The sequence below is a fragment of the Homo sapiens genome, chromosome 13 (genome assembly GCF_000001405.40).
Source record: "Homo sapiens chromosome 13, GRCh38.p14 Primary Assembly".
Classification (NCBI taxonomy): domain Eukaryota; kingdom Metazoa; phylum Chordata; class Mammalia; order Primates; family Hominidae; genus Homo; species Homo sapiens.
The window spans coordinates 40,789,181-40,813,563 of NC_000013.11; the positions used below are offsets into that span (position 1 = coordinate 40,789,181).

The following is a 24,383-nucleotide window of genomic DNA, read 5'->3' on the forward strand; positions in this document are numbered from 1 at the left end:
AAAGTAAGTCCTCCCAACCACTGACATTACCAGCCCCCAGCCCCCAGTCCCAGCCCAGCGGGCTAACAAGGGTCCGGCCTCAGAGAGGGTCTCGGGGATCCCAGAGGTGGGAAAGTCTCCGGAGGCGCAGGCCCCGCTCTCCACCTTCACCAGGGTCGGCGGCAGCACCACGCCGGGTCGCGGGCTGGCTGTGCGCGCCGCGGCCCCACGCCCACTTCCGCTTCCCGTGCTGGGGGCGGTGGCAGGGCCGGTGGGCGGTGGCGGCTCCCGGTCTCGGCTCGGGCACGGCCCTGGGCAGGCCGCCCGCCAGCCGCAGGGGCGCTCCTGAGCTTCGCGGGGCCGCAGTCCGGGATGCCTGCGCGAAGGGAGGGGCGAAGGGCCGGCCGTTGCCGACGTGGGTGTTAAGTGGCCGCCCCAGCCGGCGACCCGGAGCCGAGAGCGGGCGGCGGAGCCTGAGCTGGACGCGGCCACGCCGGCGCGGCGGTGAGCGCAGCCCGGTCTGGCGCCTGCAGCTGCGGGGAGCGCGCCAGGCAGAGGGAGCGGGGAGCGGGGCGCGGGGCGGGCCTCGGTGTGCGGGCGGCGTGACCTTCCCGAGCGGCGGGGGAAGCGGCCAGCGTCGCAGCGCACGTGCCGCGGGACTCGGAGAATCTCGGGGTTGTCGGCCTCCTTCCTGCAGTGCCCACCTGGTGGGAACTTTTGTCCTTGTTTGCCCCCAAGTCCTGTCATTTGGCTGCGGGGCTCCGCGCCTCAGGGGCGCCAGTGCTGGGCAGCATGGAGCCGCTTGTGAATGGAGACTTGCTGGCTGCCCAGGAGTGGGCGGCTGGGCAGGGGCGGTGAACGTTTAGGGTCCGGCCAAGAAAGTTGGAAGTCGTCTCCCTGACCTGTTCCTTGCGAGGCCCGGGAGGAGACGCGCCTGGCCGGTCCTTGGCGGCGAAACTGATTTGCATCTCCACGCTTTACCTAAAGCCCGGGCTCTGGGGACTGGATGGCGAGCTGGCCTGCGGCTCCTTTAGCCAGAAGCTGGGATCTTCCCGCAGCAGTTCGTGTTCCCTGGTGGAAAATGCAGCCTCATCTACTGACTCTCCCTTCCAAAAAAAAGTTATTTTCCCCAAGGGTCGAGAAAAGTGGGTGGTCGGCACTGTTGTTCCTCAGTTGCACCCTGGTGTAATTTGAGAGAGGGGTCAAAGGCGCTGAAAAGATTCTTTTTTCTATTCCAAGTGCTACAGCAAGCTCATAAATCAATTTTAATTCATGCTGAACAGTCTTGCCTCCTCCAAGCCCTGTGTCTTCTCCAAGCCAGAGCTACACATAATGTGAATTAGCTGCCCACTCCTTCTGAGTGAATCTGTTAGTACCCATCATCGTTTTCTATCCTAATAATTCTAATGGCTATTTGTAGAATTTATTTGTTTGTTTATTTTTTTGAGACGGAGTTTCGCTCTTGTTGCCCAGGCTGGAGTGCAATGGGGCGATCTCGGCTCACCGCAACCTCCGCCTCCTGGGTTCAAGCTATTCTCCTCCCTCAGCCTCCCGAGTAGCTGGGATTACAAGCATGGCCCACCACGCCAGGCTAATTTTGTATTTTTAATAGAGACGGGGGTTTCTCATGTTGGTCAGGCTGGTCTCGAACTCCCGACCTCAGGTGATCCGCCCGCCTTGGCCTCCCAAAGTGCTGGGATTACAGGCGTGAGCCACTGTGCCTGGCCTATTTGTAGAATTTAATGTGTTTAAGTTTGGCTCACCTAACAGGGTTTAATTCTTAGGGACAGATAGAATGTAATGTGATGTGACTTTCCTTCAAAATTAAGAAGGAAGTGTCTGTGCCAAAAGAAATAAGCGCATTGAGGTTTATCTAGGAGGCCACATTGTACTTGCCTCTGTCTGTCTGCTCAGTTGCCCCCGTTTTTTTCTTTCCCAAAAATATAGGGTTGGGTGTTTTGTGTTGCCTTTGGCCAGGTTGAAATACTCAGATTAACGGTTGGTTTGTAGGCACAGGCCTGAAAAGACAGGACTTTGAACTGAATCCTCTGTCACTGACAGTTGTGTGGCCTTGGAGAAGACCTTGTCTTGCTCCAGGCTTTAGTTTGCCTTCTGGGAAAGGATTAGGACCCTGATAAACTTTTTATTTATTTATTTATTTATTTATTTATTTATTTTATTTTTTATTTTCTATTATTATTATTATTTTTTTTTTTGAGACAGAGTCTCACTTTGTTGCCCAGGCTGGAGTCCAGTGGCACAATCTCGGCTCACTGCAACCTCCACCTCCCGGGTTCAAGTGAATCTTCTGCCTCAGCCTCCTGAGTAGCTGGGACTACAGGTGTGCATCACCACGCTGGGGTCATTTTTGTATTTTAAGTAGAGACAGGGTTACACCATATTCGTCAAGCTGGTCTCAAACTCCTGACCTCGTGATCCTCCCACCTCAGCCGGCCCAAAGTGCTGGGATTACAGGCGTGAGCCACCGCGCCTGGCCAGGACCCTGATAAACTTTTTTAGGAAGATACCAGATGGCCACCACCTTTTCAGCCTAGTGAATGGTCCTGTCTCTCCAGACCTATCAACAGCATATAAATCAGTGTCTTGCACTTCTAACTTAGTTGCTTTATTAAGTAATGTGCCGTTGTTGCCACTGGTTTTAAATTTTTTGTGAATAAAGGAGGATTATTGAAGTCTCGTCGTTGGCAAGATGCTTCAAGAGGTTTAAACAACTTCTCCACGGCCAATGTTTCCTGTTGACGTTCAGGGTGACATTGGTGTTAGGAGCGTGCTTGGTGTTCATCTCTGATCCAGCACGATGGGTCACACGGCTCCTCAGTGTGATGAGGAATAAGTTGTTCCTTATTATTTGCAAATAAGTTACTAACACCGTTTGAAAACTGTACAGGATTGGTCGTTGAGTTGGATATTTTAGTCAACATTTATTAAGCCCATGCCTCAACAGTAGTTGACTTTTGTCTAAAGAGAGAGAAAGAAATTCTAGTTTTCCCAAATGCCCAAGGCTCCAACCAAAACATACTGAATCCAGATTTCCAGAGGAAAGTCCTGGCAATTTGGATATTTAATAAGTGCTCCAGGTTATCAAGTGGATTTGGACACAACGGCCCAGGTGTTGTATCTCAAAGTGTGAGTCTGTGGACTGGCACTGTCCGCCTCACTTGGGAACTCATCAGAACAGGCAGAACCTCTGGTCCTGTCCAAGGCTACTGAATCAGAGGCCGCATTTTATTTAGCAAGGCCCCCAGGCTACTCCTGCACACGTTTACATTTGAAGGGCTGGTGGTCTGTGGTGACGGGAAGATGTGTGTGACAGGAAGATGCTTGCGCAGGGCCTTGTTCTAAGAACACATGATGCTTGTGCACGGTGTGGCGTCCCATCAGTCTGATGTGGCTATTTGTGACTGTGTTTGTTTTATAATATTTTTATTATTCACCTTGTACAGATGAGGACTCCCAGCTGTAGAGGCTGAAGGAGCCACACTGCAGGTAGAGCAGGCATTCACCAAGGCGTGTGTGATCCCAGGGTGCAGCTCCCACCCTTGGCTGCCTGGGTGCTCTTTTCCAGACCTACTGTCTTGTGAGATCCCCTTAGGCACCCAGCACAGGCTGCTGTCTGAATTTAGAACTGAGCCTGTTCAATTGATGGCTCAACATAGGCCTCTAAAAAAACAAGTCTGATGCGGTTTGGTACACCTGTGGTTGGCTTACTTATTTGGTGTTCGTTTTTTCAGTTTTCAGAAAGGTCAGTTGAAGTGCTGCTGGTGGCTGTAGCATTGATACACAGGGGAGGTTTTTGATCTGTGAGCTTTCTAGGAGGCAGTTGCTAAGCTGCACTGATACCTTGAGCCCCTTTCCTTTGGAACAGTGTGGACCCCAGGTCATGGCTCCCAGAAGTTTAGGTTCTGTAATTTGGCTGCAGGCCTAGAGAACAGGATGCTGCAGACTTGGACTAATGGTGAACTCTTGCCTCCCCCCAGGGATATGTGGTGCCTGTCATAAGCTCCAGAGAGCTGCCTTCCACAAGACCAGCAGAAGAGTGGGCAAACATGAAATCCAATCCTGCTATCCAGGCTGCCATTGACCTCACAGCGGGGGCTGCAGGTACAGTCATGTGCCTCATCACCATGTTTCTGTCGTTGATGGATGGTGTATCTGATGGTGGTCCCATGAGATTATACTACCATATTTTTACTGTACCTTTTCTGTGTTTAGATACATTTAGATACATAAATACCACTGTGTTATAGTTGCCTGCAACATCCAGTACAGTAACATCCTGTACAGGTGTATAGCCTAGGAGCAATAGGCCATACCGAATAGCCTAGGTGTGGAGTAGGCTACGCCATCTAGGGTCAGGTGTGTATGCTCTATGATAGCACAATGACGAAATTGTGTAATGACATGTATTTCAGAACATGTCCCAGTCATTAAGCAATGCCTAACTATAATCCCAGAGAAAACCCAGTTCTCTCTATTCCTCAACTACTCTCTAAATGAGATCAAATGAAAGTGGTATGAAAATACTACCTTTCTCCCTCCAGTACTTTACCTTTGGGATTAATCCATTTGATGGAAGTTTAGTATTGTTCAGAGAGTAGCAGAAGCTAGAGGAGTGTCCGTTATTGTTAACACCTTGTCAGTCAGGGTGATGGGTGGAAGGTGCCCAGTACAGCTGGAAAACAGCTCAGAGGTGAAGCCACGTGTCCATTGTCACCTGGCTGGGATATGCAGGTGATGTGGTTCTTCACTTCAAGCCTGGCAGTCTTCAGAGCCCTTGTTGTGCAAAAATAACACCATAGCATCTCCTGGGAAACACCACTTACTGTCCCTGCTAGTGTTGGGAAAGAAAGGAGGACACTCTTAGAAATGTCTTTAAAAGGCTGGGCGCAGTGGCTCACGCCTGTAATCCCAGCACTTTAGGAGGCCAAGGCGGGCAGATCACCTGAGGTGAGGAGTTCAAGACCAGCTTGACCAACATGGAGAAACCCCGTCTCTTCTAAAAATACAAAATTATCCAGGCGTGGTGGTGCATGCCTGTAATCTTAGCTACTTGGGAGGCTGAGGCAGGAGAATCGCTTGAACCCCGGAGGCGGAGGTTGTGGTGAGCCAAGATCGCGCCATTGCACTCCAGCCTGGGCAACAACAGTGAAACTCTGTCTCAAAAAAAAAAAAAAAAGACATGTCTCTGAAAATGAGACTGATAATGGACTGTGTCTTAGAGCCGTGAAAGTTGTAGGATTTGCTGGGAATGTCAGCTAACCTGAGCCTAGGGGCCTGAGCCCAAGAGCCTGAGGCTCCCCCAGCACAGGGAGGTGCTACCTGTGATAAGGGGTAGTGCTGGCACCATGCAGGCTACTCCTTAGAAAGATCAGCTTGAACATGCAGGAAGAGCAGGACCCTCAGGCTGGGAAACAGGGCGGAATGGGAAGTGCATGGTGGTAATTTGGTTCTCCAGAGTCCAGAAGTAGGAGGAGTGGCTGGAATACTGATTGCCCAAAGGAAAACCCTGGACTACCCTGGGCTCCCGCAGGATTCTCATAGTAGTTGCAGCTCCCTGGAGTGGGGAGGCCAGCGGGGGTGTTGCCCAGTGCTGTCCTTATCCAGCACACCCCCCACCCCCACCACCAGCAGATGAGTATGGTCATGAATATGGTCACCTCATCAGTCATTTGCTCAATTGTGAAAAAGAAATTGTTCAGAGAAGAGCAAAGTGTTTTTCCATGAGCCAAAGGTCAGCCAGGGTATGCTAATGAGGAAGACTGGAGAGAGCGCGTCACCGTCACCGAGCCTAATGAGGAGCACTGGGCAAGGGCACTTCTCCCAGGGCAGAACCCACAAGGAGCGTCCCAGCCCCAGATGCCCAGGGAACGGAAGGCCAGTGGGGGTCTGCCCAGTAGTCTCTTGCCCACTGCGTGCCTTTAGGCTACAGCCTCCCAAGCCCCTTTCCCCCTCCCCTCCCCCATGCCACACTGGGGAGGACGCTGACCCTGAGAATGGTGCAAACATCTGCCTGCCCCAGGCCGCCTCTCACCAGCGAGTGAATGCTCTTGGGCTCAGTTCTGTTTCTGCAGAAGGAGGGTGTTTAGCCACATATAGTCTCAGCTTTTGACATTTTATGTCTTTCAGTCAATCTGTCAAAGATCTAGAACCTATGGTGATAGAATTTAAAAGTTTACCTTTTCCTATTTATGTGCATACAGGTATTTGGGTACCACATTTATAATTTACAAGTTAGTTTGAAAGATAGAAATTGCAACAGTATGGTTGGGAGCCTGGTATGTAAGGCATTTGCTGGTGGGCATGTTTTGAACATGTATTGATCCCTTATGTATACTGACACACTGTCCCCATCACTGTTGGACAGGTATTTCCCCCTGTGCTGGCGACACAGGGACGCCCCTCACCGAGGTAGAGATGCTGTGGGTAGTCTTAACTTCTGAGGACAACGAAGCCCATTCCTGGGGGGACAGGATAGGGAGGGGGAGCGAGACATGGTCTATAGGTTGGGGGCTGGGCAGAGGAGGTGCCTAGCAGTGACACAGAAACCTCTGTTCTGCTGTGAGGCCTATGGAATGCAAATGGAACCCACTTTTGAGGATCTTGGAGTCTTGGAGTGCTGGAGCTAGAGAGACCTTTAGACATTGTTGGCTCCAATGCTCGTTGGATATGTAGAAAAAGGCCCACAGAGGAGCAGTAGATTTGTTCAAGGTTACACAGCAAGATGGTGTGAAGACAGGGCAGGACTGTGATCCCTGGGTCCCTTGTCTGGTGTCGTTGCTGTCTCTGCTTTAGTACTCCGTAATGCATCTGCAGCACACTGGAGGGGAGGGTTAGTTTGGAGCCTTTGGGCCCTGCCTTTCTGGATGTGGAACTTGCTGGGCTTTGGGAATTTTCTGCCAGCCATTGATAGGAGCAGAGGACCTGTTGTGTTTTGTGGCAGAGGTCACCCACGGAAGCGATCCATCTGTAAGCACAGAGCCAGCTGCAGCCCGAGGTGATGTGGATGGAGCTTAAATGTGGTGTTGTGTGTGTCTCTTCTTTTCCTTTAAACAACGTTTTCCCCACCACACAGGTTTTTAGCCAGCTTATCTACTCTAAAGTGCTGGGAAGTTCCCATTTCCCTATCTGCAATGGCTGTAAGACATCTAGATCCCTAAACAGCTAGGATAAAGGAGGATTTCAAGAACTTAGGTGATTAGGTAATTATTGAAATGGGGGTGCGTGGATCCCAAAAGTTAAATAGCCTTAAAGAGAAACTTGGTACCACTTTAATAGTCATTCAGCAACTCTAAAACAATGCAGTCACTACTTTGACTACTGTTGCAGTTTACCTTGTTTAGCATAGTTGGAGAATGTGGCATTTCAGATCATTGAAGTTTATCTTCTCAAATGCCAAAATTAAAAACAACCCCAAACCTTTTTTGATTGGAGTTTCTTGAAAATGATATTCTTCCCTGCCCTGTTAAACCTTTACGATGGCCTCCAGAGGGGTTTGAGGGTCTCACCTCTGCTTGGTGGGCCTGGTCCTGTGGTGTGAGTCTGCTTCTCTCTCCTCACCTCTCTGCCTTCTTCAGAGCTGTCCCTTCCCTGAGACACTGTCCCTGCCCTGATAGATTTCCTCTGTATCTCGTGATTTACTGACTCTATGTCAAGGACTGAAAATCCAAACCACCACCCTTAGTAAAGTGTTAGGTATGACATAATCTGAGTGCCTTTCCTGCGGAATAAGATGCTTGGCTGGCCACCATATCGCCGAAAGAATGTTGTTATTTGTCTTTTAAGGAGAATAAGATCAGAAGTCTGATTTCTAGGCAAGTGGAGAAATATAATATTTATTCATGGCTTTATGGACTTGATCGATCTTTGAGAACCTACTAGGTGTCAGTCTCTGTGGTTGGTACTGGTGTTCAGAACAGTCTTCTCTCACTTGAGGGCACAGTGAGCGCCGTGACCATATCATTTGTGGTAAATTACACGGGAAGTTAGCTTACCCTTGCAGAGGACGGGAGACAGTTGTTGCTAGCATTTGTACATTCATTAGCCTCCCCCTTCTCCCTGTTGGAAATGTAACTGTCCCAGCTACACAGCAAATGTGTATTCTAGTAACCTGTGATGCCTGAACTGTTCAAGATGATCAAGTTAAAATATGAATGTGCTGAATTAAATGCTTTATTCAGCTTATCTGCATCTAGGCTCTCTGAATTACGCACCCACTTAAAACATTCTGTCACCTTTTCTCTTGGAATAATTAAATTATTTTAATGTAATTCAGATTTCTTTTTATCCTAGCCCAGCATTACCTGGGAGAGAATGACTCAGGATTAATCATAATAAAATCATATTAAATTATATTCCACTAATTCAGAATTGGGGATAATTTGGCAATTAAAGGCGGAAGTGTGTCATTCCTCTCCTGTAAGAAATGAACAGTAATGATGGGCTCACAGAGATCATATTGCTTGTTGCTTAAAAAAGAGATCAAGCAGTTTTCAGACTCTGGAATTGTTGGCTTATTTGCCAATAAATAATTGAGAATTATTCTTAATGTCCCTTCCCCCAACTCCACTTTCCAGAGTTTAGATGGAATAACTGTGTATAACATCAAATTCAGGAAGTTGCATTTCTTAAATATTTTCTGTAAGCCTTCTTTTGCATTTTGATGAAGCTTTAAGAGCTCCTCTCAGGTCCAGAAGGAGACGGTAAACACTAACCACTGGCAGTTCCCACGACGCCAACCCTACTACAGGGTGTGGGGATGTTGTAGGGTGGTTACAGTTCATTCTTCTCTTCTGTTTAGAATTTTTACTAAAATGATTTCACGTGGCTGGGCATGGTGGCTTATGCCTCCCAGCATTTTGGGAGGCCAAGGCAGGAGGATCATTTGAGGCCAGGAGTTAGAGACCACCCTGGCCAACATGGTGAAACCCCATCTCTATGAAAAGTACAAAAATTAGCCAGGCGTGGTGGTGGGTGCCTGTAATCCCAGCTACTTGGGAAGCTGAGGCACAGGAATTCCTTGAACCTGGGAGGTGGAGTTTGCAGTGAGCTGAGATTGCACCACTGCACTCCAGCCTGGGTGACAGAGCAAGACACCATCTCAAAAAAAAAAAAAAAATTATTTTGTGCAATGTAGACTCTGCTGTATTTAATCTTATAGAAGTATATAAATAAAGGATTTAAGCATAAATAAATTTCAGTTCATTCTCTATTTACATACACGTTATTAATCGGTAGAGCTCAAATTAAAGAGGTTTTTCTATAGAATGAAATATTTAGCTCTTTGGGGATTAATTAGCCAGACTCCTTGTTTCCTTTCCGTGGTGCCGGGTCTGATCAGTCCCACTGGGCATTAGGCAAAGTGAGCGATGAAGTCTTCCCAGGTCTCCCCTCCCTTTCTGTGGTTTCCGTTTCTTGTGCACACAGTAGCTGCTGTTTACTGATTACGTAGCCGGTGCTGTGCCAAGCCTGTCTCCTCCATTTTTATTTAATCCTCACGCTAACCCTGTGAGGTGGCATGGATGAGGAGCTGAGGCTCAGAAGTTACATGGCTTGTCCAGGATCTCACAGCAAAGCCATAGTCCCTCTGACCCTATTGCCCAGGCTCCTACATATTCACTGCACTGTTTGCCGCTGTTGAACACATGTCTGTCTCTCTCCCCTGCCTGGCATGAGCTCCTTCAGGGTGGGACTTAGATGCCAGGCACATCAAGGACCTGCTCTAAATTGTTTACTGGACATGGCTGGAAGGTTTTGGAGGAAAAGAGGTTGAAATGAACCGAAGCAGGGGTAAGTTCTGGGGTAGGCTGCCTGTGCCTTCCTTCCATGGATAATGGAACTGTAGCCTCGTACTAGAGCAGTCATCTGTCCTGATTGCAGGAGGTACAGCATGTGTACTGACCGGGCAGCCCTTTGACACAATGAAAGTGAAGATGCAGACGTTCCCTGACCTGTACCGGGGCCTCACCGACTGCTGCCTGAAGACTTACTCCCAGGTGGGCTTCCGTGGCTTCTACAAGGGTACCAGTCCAGCACTAATCGCCAACATCGCTGAGAACTCAGTCCTCTTCATGTGCTACGGCTTCTGCCAGCAGGTGGTGCGGAAAGTGGCTGGATTGGACAAGCAGGCAAAGCTGAGGTGAGTCAAGGACACACACTTTTTTTATTTGTTTAAAAAAACCCCACAAAACTGGCAAGACATGGTGGCTCATGCCTGTAATCCCAGCACTTTGGGAGGCAAAGGCAGGAAAATGGCTTGAGGCTGAGAGTTCAAAACCAGCCTGGGCAACACAGCAAGATCCTCATCTCTACAAAAAAATAAAAATTAAAAAAAATCTACTGTTGTATGGTCACAATTTTACTGGTGCCTTATGTGGAAGAACATTTCCTTTTTTAAAAATAACTGCTTTCCTTTTATTTATGAAGTTATACATTGTCATCATATAAAACTTAGAAACCACATATGCACACCACAGAGGAGACCTGCTCATCATCCACCACTGAGAATGAACCGCCCTTCTGTTTCAGTTTTCTCCAGGAGAATGCTGTTCAGATGCAGCTGGCAGTGCTACCTCTCGTCAGCAGACATGCTGCACTGAAACTGTAGATGCTGCTTATGATCCAAGATTTAGCTTTTCTTTCATTAGCAAAAAGCAGAGTATTGGAAGAGGTTGTCTGAGCCAGATGAACTTGAGGAGTTTTAGGAAGGGTCGGAAATGTCTGCGAAGATGCAAGGGAACCCACCTTTCTCTGTCCAAATCTTCCCAAAACATCAGACTTTGCCTCTTTGTTGGTCTTGCCTTGGGTATTTATTATATAGAGACTAAACAGAATTTGGAAACCACTGGGATGTTTAGCTATCCCTGCTTTGAATGTTGATTTATTTTATACCACTTAAAATTATTATATAAGCTTCAAGATTGCAAAGGGCAGTCTTAGTTATTTCAGTAGGAGTTTGAAACCTGATTGCAGCTGCAGGTCCCACACAACTGAATTCGGTTTCTTGTGCACAGCACTGTTCTCTGGAGGTGCCTGGAGGTCTGAAGGTGTGCCCTTTTATAGACAGGAATTCCACCATGATGGGTAGAGCTTGTTTTTTAAAAAGGCTTGGGACTAGATACGATTGCCCAAGAAGACAGTGTAGACAGCGAGGAGGGCTGAGCATGAATGGGATGAGCCTCCAGCACAGAAAGGGCAGGCAGGAAGGCAGTAAAGAAACAAGCAGGGCACAAACCAGGAGAGTATGGCATGCCATGATGGAGACTGAACAGAAGCAAAAACTACAGGCAACTGTAGTTTTGTTCCCTGTTGAAGGAGAGACACTCTATTAGAGAAGACCTGGAATTCAGTTCAGTTTCCTTAGCAAAGGACAAAATGGGGAGAGAAGACAGGGAAACAGTAAGCAGCCACGTGAGATTCTGGGGAAGACCTGTGTCTTCTGAGCAAAGTAGCCCCTCCAGCCACAGGATAGACAGTGACTTCTGTCTTGCATGAGTGAAACCACTGGATCTGGCTCTGCCCGCCCCTCCACTTTCTTGCTTCCTTAGCCTGTGAACAAAGTGAAGGACAGGTAAGAGCATATTGCTTTTCTGCTGAGAACAATCTAATACCTTACAGCTGCATTTTCCCACACTGCTTTCAGAACATTGAATTGCTGGGTGTCCTTAAGAAAGGGTTGGGAAATTACGTCACAGTGTCTCTCTCGTGAAGAATCACTCTGGGTACATTTATTTCATATAGTGTATGTGTTATTTAGTTCATTAAAGATGCGTAAGGCTGGGCACAGTGGCTCACGCCTGTAGTCCCAGCACTTTGAGAGGCTGAGGTGGGCAGATTACTTGAGCCCAGGAGTTTGAGACCAACCTGAGCAACATGGCAAAACCCCGTCACTACAAAAAATACAAAACTTAGCTGAGTGTGGTAGCACATGTCTGTGGTCCCAGCTACCAGGGAGGCTGAGGTGGGAGGATTGCTTGAGCTCAGGAGGCAGAGGTTGCAGTGAGATGATGCCACTGCACTCCAGCCTGGGCAACAGAGCGAGACTGTGTCTCTCAAAAAAAAAAAAAAAAGAAAAGAAAAGAAACCATCCTGATTAACCTTGTCTAATCCAGCACTCATCTTTTTTGAGCTTGGGCCCGTTTTTTTTTTCCATCCTGAGGAACAGTGTTTGCCTCTTACCTGTTGGGGAAATGCTCTCTTAGAGTCTACAAAGCTCTGACATGTATATCATGTCTCTATAGCCCTCACCGTGATCCTGTGAGAAGAGCAAGGCAGATGTTACCTCTCTTAGGGATGGAAAACTGAGGTGCCGATGTTGACCTGCTCAAGGTCACCCCGCTAAGGACTTGAAATTGTGTCCTCTGAGCTCCTGCCCAGTCTCCTTTCCATCAGACCACAGTTGGGGGTCTGGAATATTTTATAAGGGTCAGTTCTAGAGAGAAGATTAATCAGGAGCAGTGAAAGGAAAGAACTGCTTGTGAGAGCCTGTGGTGAATTTCTGCAATCACATTGTAAATATTTGTCTGTTCCCGGTTTCAACATGACCCAGAATGTTCTAGTTTGACGTTTGGCTGGACAGGGTCTTACATAGCAGGAGTGCTCAGGTACATGTTTGTTGAACATATGACAAATGGATGATTCTTACAAAATCCCATCCTATACCTATTACTGTTTCAATTCCAGTTCTACACATTCATACTACATGCAGAACCAGGGGCCCATGCACCTCCTTCTGTGCACTGGTCAATGAAAGTATTTATTGGAAAGCCAAAGTCCACTGCATATCTGATTTGACTGTGTCCTTGCACTATAATAATGTGCTTGGTGTTCATTCAGATGTCTGAGCCATTATTATATCTTAAACTCAATAGACTTCTACATTTATTGACTGCCACCTTTGTCCTGGCAAACTTGGCAGATCCTGGTTAATGCTCCTAATTGACTATTGCCTGTCAACAGGTTAACAGAGAGTCCCTGAGGGAGGCCAACTGTGGATCTGCAGGCTGGCTGCAAGACAACAGAAACCATTTTAAGCTTCAGTTCTAACAAGCTGCTAAGGAGTGAAGTGGGGGAAAGGAGTGGACTGAACAGCATTGGATGGTTTCCACACCCCATAAAAGCGTGTGCAAGTACATTTGTGTACCTGGTTCTCCTTTGCTAATGGTTTTAGGCTTAATTCTCTAACATCAAAAGGAAGTCCTTACTGCAAACAGTGTCTTCCTACTGAAAGAAAGCTCCACTCTAAGCCAAGTCTTCTGAAAGAGTTGCCTCTGGCCATGGTACAGAAGCTAGACCACCAGGGACTAGCAAACCAGGGCCAAGACTGGTGCCACCTTGATTTTATACTAATCTTTAACACTGGAAAAACTTGAGTACCCCTGAATATGGTAAGTCCATCTGTGCTTTTTTTTTTTTTTTGAGACGGAGTCTCACTCTGTCGCCCAGGCTGGAGTGCAGTGGCGCAATCTTAACTCATTGCAACCTCGCCTCCCCAGTTCAAGCAATTCTCCTGCCTCAGCCTCCCGAGTAGCTGGGACTACAGGCGCCCACCACCATGCCCAGCTAATTTTTGTATTTTAGTAGAGATGGGGTTTCACCATGTTGGCCAGGATGGTCTTGATCTCTTGACCTCGTGATCTGCCCACCTCGGCCTCCCAAAGTGCTGGGATTACAGGTGTGAGCCACCGTGCCCTGCCCCATCTGTGCTTTTGCTCACAGTTTGGAGAAAAATTGTTAGGGGATTATATCTCTACCTGAGTAGTTAGCTGAGGAGATTCCCACCCACCCTTAGGGGTTTTTGGAAATCTCTGAGGGTGATCTTGGCTGTCCAGTGAGAGCATGATGCTGGCATTGAATGGGTGTCAGGGAACCAGTTCAGTCCTTCCTGCCCAATGAAGGATTGTCCTACCCCCAAATGCCAGTCATGATCCCATGACACAACACTCTTCTAGGGCTGGAAGGGATCTTCTATCCCAACTCCCATGAACCAGGAACTCGCAGAGAAGCCTTTCTTCTGAAACACTTCTCAGACTTTTCCCCGTATTCGTTTTTTTTTTTTTGAAAGAGTCTCACTGTGTCACCCAGGCTGGAGTGCAGTGGCATGATCTTGGCTCACTGCAACCTCTGCCTCCCTGGTTCAAGCGCTTCTTGTGCCTCAGCCACCAGAGTAGCTGGGATTACAGGCGTGCACCACCAGGCATGGCTAATTTTTAGTAGAGACGGGGTTTTGCCATGTTGGCCAGGCCTCAACTGATCTGCCTGCCTTGGCCTCCCAAAGTGCTGGAATTACAGGTATGAGCCACCACGCCTGGCCTCCCCATATTCTTGAACTCTTACTGGATTCCAGTTTCACAACCCTGCTGGTGACATTTGGCTGCTGGTACTAAATCCATACATGAGGTGAATGCTTCTGTTTTGTATTTGTGCATTCATCCCTCTGCCTAGTTTAGATTTCCAGTTTAGCAATTTCACCTAATACCATTGAGCTTGCAGACTTGTACTGGCTTCACCCACTCCTGTGGCACCATTTTACCCTCGTCTGTGTTGCTGAGGTGGTAGGTCACCAGTTGAACTGGAAAATCTTTTTGTGATGCAGCAACTTTTGGTTAAACGTTTTTTCTGGGTTTTCATCTGTGGCAGTTACATTGCACATCTGGTTGCTCCAGGTTGGATTGTGGGCATGTGGGGATAGGCTTAGAACCTAGATTTATTTAAAACTTAGGGCAGACACACTGAAGTATTAATAGTGCATGTTTTTCAGTGGGGGACTATGGGCAATATTTTCCTCCTTTCCTTTAGGTTTTTTTGTGGCGTTTTATTTTGTCATGTCACGATGTATCTTGGCTTTGGCTGTTGTAACAGAATACTACAGATTGAGTGGCTTAAACAAACATTTCTCACAGTTCTATGGTCTGAAAAGTCTAATATCAAGGTTCCAGCAGATCTGGTGTCTGATGAGGGCTTGTTCTTAATTTGAACATAGCCGTCTTCTCACTGTGTCCTCATATGGCAGAGAGTGAGCGAGCTCTCTGGCCTCTTCTTCTAAGGGACTAATCCCATCACAATGGCCCTATCCTCATGACCTCATCTACACCTGATTACTCCCAAAGGCCCCATCTCCTAACACCATCACCTTGGGGGGATAAAATTCAGTCCATAGCGCTGTGTGTAATCAAAAGAATATGGTTGTTGCAGTCAGGAAGACCTGGGTTCACATCCTAGCACTGCCACTTAGTAGCTGTGTGACTGGCCACATTATGTCATCTCTAAGTGTCACTTCCCATAGGGAACTGGGGTGCTGCTGTCTGCTTCATAGGGTTGTGGGATCCTTAGATGAAACAGCACATGCAAGTTTCCTTCCTTTCATCATTTTTTTTTTTTTTTTGAGACGGAGTCTCACTCTGTTGCCCAGGCTAGAGTACAGTGGCACAATCTCAGGTCACTGCAAGCTCTGCCTCCTGGGTTCACGCCATTCTCCTGCCTCAGCCTCCTGAGTAGCTGGGACTACAGGCACCCACCACTACGCCCGGCTAATTTTTTTTTTTTTTTGTATTTTTAGTAGAGACAGGGTTTCACCATGTTAGCCAGGATGGTCTCGATCTCCTGACTTCGTGATCCGCCCGCCTCGGCCTCCCAGAGTGCTGGGATTACAGTTGTGAGCCACGGCGCCCGGCCCTTTCATCATTTTTTTAGACATGGAGGTCTCTCTTTGTTTCCCAAGCTGGAATGCAGTGGCTGTTCACAGATGCAGTCATAGCACTGTAGCCTAGAACACATGGGCTCAAGTGATCCTCCCACCTCAGTCTCCTAAGTAGCTGTAATCACAGGTTCATGCCCTCACGCCCGGCTCCTTACCCTGCTTTATCACCAAAGTGCTGTCTGTGTGGTGAGTGCCAAAGGAATGAAGAAACTGAGGGGTAACTGTCTGCTTGTGTGCTTTCAGTGATCTGCAGAATGCAGCCGCCGGTTCCTTCGCCTCTGCCTTTGCTGCACTGGTGCTCTGCCCCACGGAGCTCGTGAAGTGCCGGCTGCAGACCATGTATGAGATGGAGACATCAGGGAAGATAGCCAAGAGCCAGAAGTAAGCACCACTTGGGCACAAACGTCAGGTCTCTATTGCCCTAGTGTATTGGATGATTTTTCATTTTACATTGTACTAAAGTGGCAGATGTGGAAGCCAATTTATCTACTCCAAAATATTGTTTCTAGAATGCTTTCCCCTATCAGAGATTTTCTGAAAGGATTGGCTGTGATGGGACCCACCACCCACTGCATAAAAAGTCTTAGACAGATATTTAATACCCCAGAACTGGAGAAGCCAGGAGCTTAACACCCTTTTTGGCCTCTTGGAAACATAAGGCATGATCTTCAGCCATTTTTGGAGGTACATAATGGGTGGCTTTTGAACTTTGCCTTAGACCTGAGCCTTCATAAGTGCCAATTTGGATTCTGAGATGAATATTTGATCCCCACTTCAGGTTTCGTATGGGTATTCAGGCTGATTGACCCAGATCCTAGAGGTAACTATTCTTACCCCACTTATCCCCAGTCCTTCAAGTGTACCTGCAGATGGCCCAAGTTCTGAGAACATTAATCAATACTTTTATAAGCATAGCTACTCTTCAGTGATTAAATCACTCTCTAGCTCACTCTTGAAAACACATTCTCATTATCCTTTGAGAGTACTGTTTCATACACAATTTGATTTACTTGAATTGGAAAGCAATTTATTATCCTTATTAATTGCAAAACTTGCTTACTTATCTTGACATCTGGCTGAGTTCTGACCAAGGATATTGCTGTGGTTAACTCAAAGCCTATAAATCTGCTGGGAAAAAGCAGTAGATAAATTGACCATTTTCAAGGATCAGTCCCCACTCAGTGAGAATGGGGTTTGGAAAAGTGCCCTATTTTCTGCACCCTTGAGATTCATTACAGCCAACTTGAATCTAATATTCATTGCCTAGAAGTCCAAGAGTGTAAGTCTTTAAAACTTTTTATTGAAATAATACACATAGTATCATGAATGCACATTGAAGTCACAGTATGCAGCTCTATAAATAGTGACACAATTTATGTGCCTTTGTAACCTGTGTCCAGATTAACAAATAGAACATTAACAACACCCAGAAAGCTGCCCTCATGTTCCTTGGAAGTAATTCAAGGTAATTAAAAGATAGTAATAGTTATATCCAAAGGACTTAGGCAGATCAACACCTTGAATTATCAGTTGACTTTGTATTTGAGGTCTAGCAGTGTTCACACAAGGCATGGTATGGTAGCTTGGGGCTAAGACTCGGATTGGAAGGGAGGTTAATTGTGTTGAGCTGGATTACTTTGTTACATTCCATGTAGCAGTGCTGCAGGAAGGGCTGGCTGATGGGGAATACCTGACAGTGTCTTCTGAAGCTCTCAGAAGGAAAATAGTTTTTAAATGTCTGTGGCCTTTATTACCTTGGGACTTGATCCTTCATCTGTCCAAGCCAAGTCTCCTTCTTGCTGAGAACAAAGTGAGGAGAGAGGGATTCACTAAGTTGCACTGAGTATGTGATTTCTTGGCCTGTTCTTAGCAGGGATAAACCTGCCCTGGTTGCCCTCAATCATGAAGGGGAGTCAGACAAAGAGTGTCCTGTGTTCTGGCTGCTACAGGAGCAGGGCTGCTTAGAAGAAATTCTCCCGCATCCCTGGTGCTCTGAGAAATAAATTCTTGGTGCTTCTGCATAACAGGAGCTATATAACTTGTTCTCAGAATTTGTCTTGTCTTCAGACAACATTTACTCCTTCACTCATTTCTCTGCACTAAAAACAGATCCTGTAAACACCTGAACAAATTTCCCAAAAACACACCAGAAAGATTGAGGAAATAGGAATCACAGCGATAAGGGACTGGGCAATACAATGCCATTTTATGTTTGCTGAGTTTAGATAATTCCTTACTGTAAATAAATTTCCTTCCCACAGAAGGATGCCGTTGAGTCTTAATTCCTGGCTCTTCATTTACAAAATCAGCTTCTTCCTTACTAGTGCTTGATCAGATCTGTTAATTGGTTGCAAATGCCCTTGTCTTTTCTTCCTTCCCACCTGCTGTAACCGTGCTATCTCTCTGTGTCTCCTCCCAGTACAGTGTGGTCTGTCATCAAAAGTATTCTTAGGAAAGATGGCCCCTTGGGGTTCTACCATGGACTCTCAAGCACTTTACTTCGAGAAGTACCAGGCTATTTCTTCTTCTTCGGTGGCTATGAACTGAGCCGGTCCTTTTTTGCATCAGGGAGATCAAAAGATGAATTAGGTAAATGTGTTTGCATTGACAGCAGTGGGGTGTGATGGTGTTTGCTCCCTGCAGGTATGGTTTCTGTGGATTCTCTGCCCTTTGTGCTCTCCTCCCCACATTGGTGGCTCCATCTGGCACAGGGAAGCTTCTGGATGCCTGAAGGTAACATGGTGGCAGGCAGTTGATAGCACCCACCCTCCAGGCCTGATAATTTCCTTAGGACAGGGCCTGAAGCAGTACATCCCAAACTTTCTTACTGGAATAAAGTTTTTTAATTTTTCTGGATCTATTTTAGGGGAGAAGAAATCCAGAAATTACTTTCCCAATTGGGGAATCACCTATAAATAATCTTGAAATAAGGTTAAAACTTGGAAATCTTAATAGTGTTTTGAGAGCAGTGAAAACCATAGTTCTTTGTAGCTTATCGTGTTTAGCTGGTTGGTACAACTACATGCAATGTTTGGCTCACATAAGTGAGTTTTTCTTACCATCTCCCTCAGTGTGTGTTGAATCTATTCTGTGGTTAGTCAAGCTCCCAGACTTAATTGCTATGTTTAATAAAAACAATTTTGGCTTTTAATGATAAATGAAGAATCAGGGCTATTAAAATACTTAAGAGTGAGAAAGTTGAAAAAAGACATAGATTGTGTTTGGCCTGTCTTCTCCCCACTGTAGGGGGTTGCCACTCAGCTGGAGGCCTGCTGGTTCGTGTGGGCCAGCCCTTGACACCTCAGTGACCAAGCGAAATATAACCCTCACTAAGGCTTCTTGTACTTGGCAAGACCCAGGAGTAGACCTGGGCTACCAAACAAAACCCTGTGTTCTTAGAGCTTGGGAACAAGAGCTTTGACAGTTTTCCTCAAAGAATTGTATTCTGTAGCATTAGCATTTTTATTTTCATCTACCTGCAGCCATTACTACATTGACCTCTGGAAATGTCACATCAGCTGTTCTTGAGACAAAATACCATTTGCTATTTTTTTTTTCTCTAGGCCCTGTACCTTTGATGTTAAGTGGTGGAGTTGGTGGGATTTGCCTCTGGCTTGCGGTATACCCAGTGGATTGTATCAAATCCAGAATTCAAGTTCTTTCCATGTCTGGAAAACAGGCAGGATTTATCAGAACCTTTATAAATGTTGTGAAAAATGAAGGTGAGTAAATACCTGTTTTTCAAGCATCTATATACATCTTAAAATCTGAGATACGGGCCGGGCGTGGTGGCTCATGCCTGTGATCCCAGCACTTTGGGAGGCTGAGGCAGGTGGATCATGAGGTCAGGAGATCGAGACCATCCTGGCTAACACGGTGAAACCCCGTCTCTACTAAAAATACCAAAAAAATCAGCCAGGCGTGGTGGCAGGCACCTGTAGTCCCAGCTACTCGGGAGGCTGAGACAGGAGAATGGCGTCAACCTGGGAGGCGGAGCTTGCAGTGAGCTGAGATTGCACCACTGCACTCCAGCCTGGGCAACAGCGAGACTCTGTCTCAAAAAAAAAAAAAAAAAAAAAATCTGAGATATGAACTCTGTTTTGATTGTAAAAAGAAAGAGGACAGTAACACAGAAACTTTGTGTCCCAAATAGAGGACAGATACCTTGTCTGTTACTCATAGTAATCCTCCCTTACATTTGTATAACATGTAAAGTTTTACAAAGTACTTACACCTCCCTTATCTAATTCAATCTTCATAACCACCCTGGGCAGTACTAATACTATACACAGGTCTCCAACTTCAAGGTTGGTGTTCCTGCCACTGCCCAGGTGAAGCTGCAAAGCTGCTGCCACCTCTATCTCCATGGTTGCCTCTGTCTGGCCATCTCAGGCCTCAGCTCTGCCCCATCCATATACTAAGAGTTAACCAAGCGTGGAATTGGGGTATGTTACCTGAGCATCAGTCAGTTTTGCCAGGAGACCTGATACTTGTCCTTGTTTCCATTAGTCTATTTAGGAAAAGCTGGGAATGCATCCTTCTATGACTTGTTGGTTTTTAGCACTGTTGTCTGGGTTTGCATGTGTAAATATACCTATGCTATGCAGCTGCGTGGGTATCCCCAAAGGAGGGATTGTTGCAGTCTTTGACCGCCCTTTTATTTGCTAGGAATAACGGCCTTATATTCTGGACTGAAACCTACTATGATTCGAGCATTCCCTGCCAATGGAGCACTCTTTTTGGCCTACGAATATAGCAGGAAGTTGATGATGAACCAGTTGGAAGCATACTGAAGTGTCTTGGTGGGCCTGAGCCAAGCACAGGTGTTTGAGGACTACAGTTCATCTCAGGGTTTCTTGGAGTACAAGACCAGTGTGAAGTTATTCTGATTTCTTGGGAATTTTGCTTTTTGTCTTCCCTTCTACCCTACATCTTAAACTTTATGGAAGAACCTCTATTTTGCATCATATCATTTCTGTCCATAATTGTACTGAAATAGAAAAGTGACCGCTCTTGCTCTTGGTAAAATATAGAGTGGTCAGTAGCCTTATGCACCTAATTCAAAAGGTGGAATATAGTTCTGTCAGGGCTTTTACGTAAACCTCCACTTGTACATGCAATTTGGACAGTTATGTGTTGAGGGAAATACAGTTTGGTACCTTGTTTATTTCAAATATCAGAAAAACCCAGAGGTGATCATTTCTCATGAAGATGCTTATAAATGGTTGCTTAACCCATTCTAGATGTAGGGTCTGCTTAATGTGTGTACTTTTCTAAGTGGTTGATTATTTTTTATTTTTTTGATACAGAGTCTCACTCTGTCACCCAGACTGGAGTGCAGTGGCACGATCTCGGCTCACTGCAACCTCCGCCTCCTGGGTTCAAGCGATTCTCTCACCTCAGCCTCCTGAGTAGCTGGGATTACAGGTACGCGCCACCATGTCCAGCTAATTTTTTTTGGTATTTTTTGTAGAGACGAGGTTTCACCATGTTGTCCAGGTTGGTCTCGAACTCCTGACCTCAAGTGATCCGCCCACCTCGGCCTCCCAAAGTGCTGGGATTACTGGTGTGAGCCACCATGCCCAGCCAGTGGTTGAATTTTTTAAAAAGTGTTCATGGGGTGCTTGAAAACTAAAATATCCTTCTAGATTTGTAAGACAGTATACCTGCATACTGGTGTGGCTTCCACACTTGAGTAAAAGCTTCAGAGTAGGTATCCTAGATTTCCCCAAGATGCTCTACTCTTAAAATAGTGCCATTCATTTTCTAGGTGGGATCATATTCCACGCTGACTATATTGCTAGGGGTGGCCCAGAGGGTCAGGCCTTTGGGAAATAGCATGGCCTTTACCAGCTTCCCTTCTCTCCCAAAGAACTTCCCTTCTTGGGCTTTAGATTGAGGAAGGGGCTGAGTGGTAGGCGGTGCTGCTGTGCTCTGATGAAGACCCATGTGGCTAGCAACAGCGCTTACCTTTTGTCTCTGGGTCCTGGCCTGGGGCCATCAATCCACTTTGGGCCACTCACTGTCTGCTCTGCCTCCACCAATCAGAAACCCTTCCAAGGAACAGTGAGAGCCAAAGCCAAGAGAAGCCTTCTTCCCTGTTTGGTGATTGTGTGACAGTGGGTGAACCTCTCTCAGAGAGAACTAGAAAGAACTCAGTGCTTGTACTCCACAGTGAGTAATGTCAGGTCTGACCCATCCTGAAGCCTGTCTTGCCATGCTTTTACAGTGTTGGAGGCTTCTACATTTGGTACTTGCAGTCAGTAAGTCTTAATGATGACTGTATATGTGATATGAGTTTATAAAGCAATGGAACATAAGAAAAGCAATTGTAGGCCAGGCGCAGTGGCTCACGCCTATAATCCCAGCACTTTGGGAGGCTGAGGCGGGCGGGTCACAAGGTCAGGAGTTCGAGAACAGCCTGACCAACATGGTGAAACCCCATCTCTACTAAAAATACAAAAATTAGCTGGGCGTGGTGGCACGTGCCTGTAATCCCAGCTACTCAGGAGGCTGAGGCAGGAGAATCGCTTGAACCCGGGAGGCAGAGGTTGCAGTGAACTGAGATTGTGCCACTGCACTCCAGACTGGGTGACACAGCGAGACTTCATCTCAAAAAAAAAAAGAAAAGAAAAGCAATTGTACTTCACTATGCCATATGTATGTATTCACTGACCAAAAATTCACTGACCAACCAACCAAACTCCACACTTCATCTGATCCCCCATAGACTTGGGGATGGACAGCTGTTCTTTGGCCATATGGTATAAGAGGATCATTCTTGTCACTACTTAAGTTAGCCTCATCATTTTGTGCTGCTCCAACACCAGCAGGGTATCTCCCAATAAAGTGTTCCTAAGCAGCCTGTATACTGAGTGCAAGCAGGCTATCAATTTTAATAATAGTCCATACCATGTATGTGTTTCTGTCAGCAGAATGTACATGTTGTACAAAACCTCCAGGTTCCTTAAGCTTTTTGCTGTCCATGAATCCTCTGTGGCAACTGTAATCACAGAGCCAGAAGCCAGAGGGCCAGGGATATGAGAGGCTGACAAACATCAGGGGACATCTGGGGAGGAGATCCCTGTCATGTCTCTTGTGCCATGGAGCTATTATGGCTGGTCTTCCATTTGCTTTTTCTTTAAGTGAAAACCATTTTTCTACTTTGCTTTTCTCTCCATACTTAAATGGTCAGTAGCTACTGAGTGGTGCTTTATCTGAATAGGCCTGGATCGAAGTAAAATAGAAATGGGACTGGCTTTCCACAGGAAGTAAACTGCTTCAGAGCCCACAGTCCCCTGCTCAGTGTCCGGAAAGAAGTCAGTCATCCCTGTTGGCAGTAAATCTTCCCACAGGCCGTCCATTAGAGATTTAACTAGATATGTTCAATAGAAAGAGTCTGAGGCAAGTGGAAATGAGGAACGGAAACTTAGGTTGGGAGAATATTTTTTTTTTATTCATTCTGTTTGCTTAATTCAGAGTACAGTTTGTGCTATTTCATATCTGTACTCCAGGCAGAAATATAACTTGAAAATACTGTGTCTAAAGAAATTTCAGTGTTCTATCATTAAATTATTTACTTAATATTTGAGTCTGATGAATTTCATTGAAGTTCTTTACATCCATGTTGGGAAACAACTGTCAGGAATGTTAAAGAGTTATGTATAGTAGTGTTTCAAGGCAGTGGTTTTATTGCAACAAGCATTGTTTTCTGTCAGCAAGACACCTCATGTAAAATAATTTCACCATAGGTAAGGTGACAAAAATATTTCTATGCTCTGAAGTTATGGAACTTGGCTCACTAGAATTACTTTCTCCCTCCACCTCTTTCCCTCTATTTTAAAAAATAGTTAAACTGTCTGCTTTTAAGTTTTGGATGATTCCATTCCAAGTTACTAAATTCTACTTAAGAAAACAAGTATCTGAAGTGCCAAGATGGCTGACTAGAAGCAGCTAGTGTGCGCAGCCTTCACAAGAGGAGACAGAGTGGTGAGTGAACACAAGCTCTTCAGGTTGATCATCCAGCAGGCTGTGTTGGGATTCATCAGGGAAGCTGTGGTGAGTCATGGAGAGCATAGGGGAGTAAGGAAGGACAGCTGTCCACCTGGGATTGGTGCAGAGCAAGGGGAGGCTCCCTACAGCAGGGAAAGTGTGAGTGAGTGAAGGCTCCTGGGGACTCACACTTCTGCCATGGACCTTGGCAATCCCCAGGCACAGGAGATCCTCCATGACTCCACCTGCCCTCCCCCCCCCCCCCCCCCACCCACACACACACACACCCTGGGGTTCTAGACTGACACAGAGAGCTGCTTGGAGTCTGGGCAGAGCCACTGCTCAAGCCAATGTGGATCCCTGAGCTGCTATGGCCCCGGCTGCCATAGTCCGGCCAACAAGGTAGGCCAGGCTCTCTCGTGTGCCCCTAGGATAGGGGCCATATCCATGGTGCTGAGGAGCGGACAGATTGCAGGCCTCACTTCCACTGCACCTTGCCAGGCAAGGCCCACTGGCCTGGGCCTCCATCGCAGCCATGCTACCCACTACCTGAGCACTCCAGCTAGTCACAGCCCTCATTTCTCTGGGATGGAGCTCCCAGAAGTAACCAACAGGCCCTCTGCCCTGCCGTAGCCTGTGCCCCTGCTGCCCTCAGGCTGGAGAGGGAGCAAAAAGCCCAATAGCGGTCATGGGCCTC

The 24,383-nt window shown here is 46.7% G+C and overlaps 1 protein-coding gene, 1 non-coding gene and 1 pseudogene across 4 annotated transcripts in view, besides 4 other annotated features; 2 read left to right on the plus strand and 1 right to left on the minus strand.

Moving 5' to 3' along the window:
- Positions 1–580: a silencer, noted in NCBI's record as "silent region_5286". NCBI's record gives its function as "represses an Ori minimal core promoter by ATAC-STARR-seq in GM12878 lymphoblastoid cells {active_cell/tissue: GM12878}" and the evidence as "EXISTENCE:reporter gene assay evidence [ECO:0000049][PMID:35858748]".
- On the plus strand, positions 431–23,280 carry SLC25A15 (solute carrier family 25 member 15). Its single transcript, NM_014252.4, has 7 exons — positions 431–483; positions 3,978–4,101; positions 9,877–10,135; positions 15,938–16,075; positions 18,114–18,283; positions 19,258–19,416; positions 20,363–23,280. Exons 2-7 carry the CDS (start codon positions 4,047–4,049, stop codon positions 20,485–20,487), a joined length of 906 nt encoding a protein of 301 aa, NP_055067.1. The 5' UTR covers positions 431–483; positions 3,978–4,046; the 3' UTR covers positions 20,488–23,280.
- Positions 1,713–2,007: a silencer, noted in NCBI's record as "tiled region #12795; HepG2 Repressive non-DNase unmatched - State 2:TssF". NCBI's record gives its function as "represses a minimal TATA promoter and a strong SV40 promoter by Sharpr-MPRA in HepG2 cells {active_cell/tissue: HepG2}" and the evidence as "EXISTENCE:reporter gene assay evidence [ECO:0000049][PMID:27701403]".
- Positions 3,372–3,531: an enhancer, noted in NCBI's record as "active region_7616". NCBI's record gives its function as "activates an Ori minimal core promoter by ATAC-STARR-seq in GM12878 lymphoblastoid cells {active_cell/tissue: GM12878}" and the evidence as "EXISTENCE:reporter gene assay evidence [ECO:0000049][PMID:35858748]".
- Positions 3,662–3,741: a silencer, noted in NCBI's record as "silent region_5287". NCBI's record gives its function as "represses an Ori minimal core promoter by ATAC-STARR-seq in GM12878 lymphoblastoid cells {active_cell/tissue: GM12878}" and the evidence as "EXISTENCE:reporter gene assay evidence [ECO:0000049][PMID:35858748]".
- Positions 7,805–24,383, minus strand: part of TPTE2P5 (TPTE2 pseudogene 5) — a 124,766-nt pseudogene continuing 108,187 nt past the window's right edge. For both annotated transcript variants that reach the window (NR_038259.1, NR_038258.1), the window contains one exon: positions 7,805–11,544. The product of NR_038259.1 is annotated as a TPTE2 pseudogene 5, transcript variant 2 (transcript). The remainder of the gene's footprint in view (positions 11,545–24,383) is intronic.
- MIR621 (microRNA 621) lies at positions 21,586–21,681 on the plus strand. Its single transcript, NR_030352.1, has one exon. It is a non-coding gene; the product is annotated as a microRNA 621 (primary transcript).